Here is a 6,000-nt window from a genome sequence, read left to right as displayed (position 1 = left end):
TAGCCTTCAAATTTTTTCTTTTTGTTGACATTAGTTTTACTCAAGTTTCCTCTTACTCCGCCTTTGCCTACTTATAAACCAAAATGAAGTCCCATGGCTCTACAGGGTCTTGGAAAGCACATGCATTGTGAAACTGTAAAAATTCAATGACTTCCCTCTGACTACATCACAAAATAATCATGGAGAATTTATCACTTCGATAAAAGAAGAAAAAATGTATGTTAATAACAGTCTGTGCATCAGGAGCTTGCAAACTCTGCCCTTTAAACGTATTATCGAAACATTACACTCAACCATGGGCCAACTAAAAATGACTGTTTGCAATAGAGGGTAAATATTCCTCTTTGGGTTCTGCTTAATGTTATGACTTGAGCTTCTGTGATTAGTTTCTTTAACACATGCCTGTTCTGAGAAGCTTATGTAATGGTCCTGCTGTTTTGGTTCTAACTTATTAAAAACATTCTGTGACCCTCCACATTTGCAATATAGATAATGTGGGTGCCTTGAAACATGGGCTGTAAATCTGCAGTGTCATGAAACAGATGGTCTCAAATGATGAGAAATGAACAATATACCTTGTTGATTCAGAAACAAAATGAAAACCATCTCACCCCTCCACACCTAGTAATTCCTAGTAAGTAAAAAAACCACAGAGATGTAGAATATTATAGATAATTAATGCCAGAAGCGCTCTATCAGCTAATCCAGTCAACAGCCTCACTTTAAAGAGACAGACTCAGAGTGATGAAGTAGGTTGCTTAGGGTCACACAGCAAGTTACAGAGGCTCTTCCTAGATTCCTACTCAAAGTCCTTTTTTTCTACCATATTTCCTTTGTTTGGCTTCTCTATTCACTGACACAATGTCGAAATATGTTAGCAAACTTTGACCTGATAGTCATAATTATTTTTCAAGTGTTTATTTTTAATGATCAAAAGTGCAGGCAAATATAAGCTTCAGATTCAAATGGCAAAAGTGATGGTCAGAAGTATGTTCACTGCTACATTTTTCCAACTTGCATGAACATTGATCATTCAAAATACTTACGTAGAGTCTTACTTCAAAAATAACATTTACTCACTGGTAATAAAAACATTAAAAATAAGGATCGGCCTATTGTTTTTAGCTGCACTTAACACAGCCCATGCCTAATCAAAGGCCATTTTCTTTTGGAAAACAAATCTTGATCAACTCTAACCAAGGTGCTGAGGAGCGGTAATCATTAGTAACGACCTTGTGAAACTTATGAGGTACCTATTGTTTGCAGGCCTCTGGATGGAGCTAAAAACACTGCTTGCCAGAGCTAAAGGCAATAAAGACTAATAAATGCCAGAGCTGGTGCAGAAACAGAAATTCTACCTCCCTGCATCCTTTAAAGTAAGAACAAGTCACGAACAACAGAAAAGGAGAAGGGTGGCCTTATCAGAGAGGATGCTGATGATGGATTTTGTCACATGTGAAATAATTCAAAGGCCTTCCAGAGTAGCCAACACTTGCAGAGAAAAAGCAGGATGAAGCCAGCACAGGGCTCTTTGGGGGTGGGTGTGAGTCTTCTACATTACAAGTAGTGTTGATGGGAGCCATGAAATGGGACAGTGCTAGTTTCTTACACCATTGTAAACAGTCAGGAGCACAACTGCAAGGTTTTGTTGTTTGCTTCGCTTGTTTGTTTTTCTGCCTCTAAGATAGATGTTTGAGATTTCAAAGAATTGTGGATCAGGCCAGTCACAATGGCTCACGCCTATAATCCCAGCCCTTTAGGATGCCAAGGTTTTGGTCCAAGAGACCAGCCTAGTCAACAGAGCAAGACCCCATCTCTACAAAAAATAAGACAACTAGCCTGAAGTGGTGGTGCATGCCTATAGCCTCAGCTACTTGGGAAGCTGAGGTGGGAGGGCTGCTTGAGTGCAGGAGTTTGGGGCTGCAGTGAGCCACGATGGTGCCACTGCACTCCAGCCTGGGTGACAGAGCAAAACCCCATCTCTAAAAATAAAATAAAATAAGAATAGTTGGTCAAAACAGAATTGTAGCAAAAAGCCAAAGGCATGGGCTGCTCTAAAAGTAAGTATAAAGGTTTAAAGTGTAAAAGATATCTTCTTGTATCCTTCTAAATGAAGATATAAATCTAACTTGAAAGGAAAAGTTGAGAGTGAGACTTTTTATTGCTCTGGTCTTGAATTCTGGAGCTTGATTGTTAGAAGAGAAACACTGGAGTGACAATGCAACTTGGACCAAAAGAAAGAGAAAGGACGAGTTCAACTAAGTAAACATTTTAAAAATTCAACTACAGGAATATTCAGTATACAATAGAAAAATGACACTGATGTTATCTAACAATAAACTATTAAGTTTTCATTTCCTGTATCACTGGACACTCTGCTCCAGGGATCCATGGGACCTTATAAAGGAGACATACAGTGTTGAGAGACTTGACTATATTGGAATGATCACTAAGCTGGTTGGGCTGAACTGGGAGCCAAAAACCAGGAGGCCCTGCCCAGCTGTTGACCTCACTGGCTATGAGTGAAAGCCATTTAGCTTTCTAGGAGCTCTACTTTTTCAAATGTAAAATGGGGGATTGGGTTGGAGAATCCTTAATGTTCTTTCTACTGCTAAAACTCTATGACTCACAATGTAAGTAACTCCATACACTCTTTCCTTAGATGAGATAGCTCAATAATAATATTTGGTGAAAATGAAATAGCTGAACCAAAAAATAACATTGCATGCATTCAACAATATTTAAATCAAGAGAACGTAATTATGGCTTAAATTTAATTGAATTTTTTGGAAGTTGGACAGAATTTAGCAAATGCACTTTAAGTGGTGGTAAAAATGTAATACCTTCCCTAGATGATAAAAACTTTGACCATGAGTTTGATCCTAAAAATTCTTTTCTGTTTCTATTTAAACGAAAAAAAAGAGATTTTGCACATTTTATTCCTCATGTAAAACTAAAGGCACAATTTTACATTCAGATAGCTCTTCATACTTTTCAGCAATTCCAGTAGAAAGGATTTAAATATAGCATCCTTTAATACTTCTTACAGACACAGTAATAAAAAAATAATTTGACAATATTGTTCTTTACTTAGAAAAGCCCACAATAATTATACCTTATTATTATACCTCATATTTGTACAATGATTTACATTTCAGACTACTCACACACCCATGACTTTACTCAATTCTCACAGTAACCCTGTTAATAGGTATTGGATCCCTATATTTTAGGTGAGAATACTGAGGTTCAGTGACGTTGAGTGACTTCCTGAAGGTCACACAGCTGCAGGTATCAGTTAGGACAAAGCCCACATTTCTCTTGTCTAATCCAGGTCTGCTTCCGTTGCATTCTTCATGGAGTGCTATTGTCATGAGAATGTGAGCTCCACAGGGCAGGGAGTTTTGTCTCTTGCTCACTCCTCTATCCTTGCTGCCCAGATGAGTGTCTAGCTAAGTAGACACTCAATAAGAGTTTGTTGAATGGATTATTGGTTATTTTATTATTATAAAGGCAATACATATTTGCATAGATATTTTTTCAAAATGTATGCATTGAAATGATGTGCCAATATCCAACCAAACATAATCAGTATTATATTTTAATAAATTGGTTTGAATTTTCTTCACTATGCATCTTTTTTTTTAGATTTTAATTTTATGTTGTATTTTGTAGTGACAATGGGATATATGAGGCATATAGATGTATGTATCTACAGGTTCACTTTCACAAATCACACTACCAGTAAGTAATAGATCCAGGGTTTAAATGCGGTCAGTCTGCCTACAGAGTGCTTGCCAGGCAATGAAGGAAGAGCATGCCTGAGAATAAGGACAACCCAGAATGGGAAGCTAGGGATGAACAGAGAAGCAAGTTCTGCCAGCATTCTTTTACCCCATGTCCAGCTATTCCCAAAGACATTTCCACCCGTAGATAGGGTCACACATGTGTGACATATATTCTGGCTACTTATAGCTTCATTATCTCAACAGCAAAAGACCAGAAACAGCCCAGTAGTCTACCAACAGAGGACTAGTTAAAAGAAAAAGTATAAACTATTTGTACAATGGATCGACATGACCATTATAAAGAATGAATCATCTCTACAGCCTAGGAAATTCCTAGTGCAGTTACCAAAAGGAATCCTAGGCCTTTTAAGGATATCTGGATATTGGAGCCCAGGATGCTGAATTCTGCTGAGATCACTGAACCTTTTTCCTGGGAAACTAGACTAAAGAAGGCCCCTTTCTTTTTTGTTTAGCTATTACAAACCCTTTTGTCTTTTTATACCCAATGTTCTGGGCAGGCAATAGAATACTGTCTCAACTACAGGGAAACAATCAGAAACCCATTTTTTATTTCAGTCCATTGGCCAATGCATATCTACCCTGTGTAAAAGATGTGGTAGCAGAGCTTGTGAAAGCTTCAGCTGACAAGGTTCTATTGTCTCTACCAATGTGATGATTCCTCATAATGTGCAGATTCAGCATTCCTCAGCTAGATACCTTACTTCCTATGAAATTGTTACTTTCCCCTTTAAAGATCTCTATCGGTTGCTATAACACCAGGTACCCAGCAACTCTCATTTTTTTACCTAAGGAAGGAAAATCTCATTATTTATTGTTTGACCTCTGTGGGAGAATTTTCTGGAAACACCCCTGGACAATCCTGATTTAATTTTGTTTGTACCTAAAAATAAGAAATGGAAAATGATAAGCAGGCTATCACAAATCTAAATTCACAACTGAAATCTGAGCTTCTACCAAAAAGTTAAATCAGCCAAATGGCTGAATTTATCACGCCTCTGAGACAGCCAAGTAACAAGAGTTAAAGAGCAAATGTTTGTACAGACAGTAAGTATGCTTGTAAGGTGGTCTATGATGTGGTAATGCTTTAGAATAAAAGAGGTTTCCTGTTCTCTGCGGATACTTACATAAAAATGAAAACAAATTAAGCTTTTACCCATAATAAAAGTAGAGACTCATTCAAAGCATAATGATCCAGAATCCTATGATAATGACCTAACTGGCCTATGCTAAACAAGCAGCATTTACTAAAATGATTGTACCCATCACCTCCCAAATAGGAAAAACTCTGGAGTGATTCAAAGATGCTATCATTAATTGCCAAAGATAAGCCCCTGATTCAGATGGAAAGCATTAGGGGAGGTCAGAATGCACATTACTTAAAGATAATATGGTGTTATAAAACTGTTGTCTGATCATAACAAATTATCTTCTGGAGTTTAGCAAAAATGCTTTGTTATTTTACCTAAATTGTTACCTAAATAAGTTAACCTAAATTAACATAACAAAATTGGACATGATATTGAAACATCATTACCTGGGTAATTTTAAGAGTCTTGCCAAAGATGTTTCCAGTGTATATCTTACTTGCCAACAGCCTAATCCTGCCAAGACTGAAAAGAAGGTTCCAAGTCCCTTTGAATACCTTCAACCCCAATCATTCCCATGACAGGACAATAAATATCTTTTAGTTATTGTTTGCTTATTCTCAAGATGGATTGAGGCTTTTTCTTGCTGGAGGGAAAAGCTGTGATGGTAGTGAAAAAGTTATTTGATTTTTTTGTTTGTTTGCTTCTGACATGGGGAAATGTAACCCTTCACTTCAGTGACAGGGCACACATTTCCCTGGGACTCTTCTTAATGCACTTTGCAAAGCCTTAGGTTTTACTAAGAGAAATTTCATCCTCAATATTCAGAAAAAGTAGAGAAAATAAATGAAACTCTAAAACTGAACTAAGCAATGCATCCAGGTGTCTTCAACTTTTTCTGGCCTAAGGTATTTCCTAAGCTTTAATGACATTAAAATCAACTCTTTCTGGCATCCATCAGCTTTCACCTTATAAATTAATAAGAGGCCATCCCATGTATCTAGGAATTACACCTTTAATCTCTGTTGCAATACTTGCAATCCAAGTATTGCAATGGATTAATGCATATACCCAGTCTTATCTACAGCAAGTACAAGTGGCCTGCC

The sequence above is a fragment of the Homo sapiens genome, chromosome 4 (assembly GCF_000001405.40).
Source record: "Homo sapiens chromosome 4, GRCh38.p14 Primary Assembly".
In the NCBI taxonomy this organism is placed as follows: Eukaryota; Metazoa; Chordata; class Mammalia; order Primates; family Hominidae; genus Homo; species Homo sapiens.
This window is presented reverse-complemented; position numbering follows the sequence as displayed.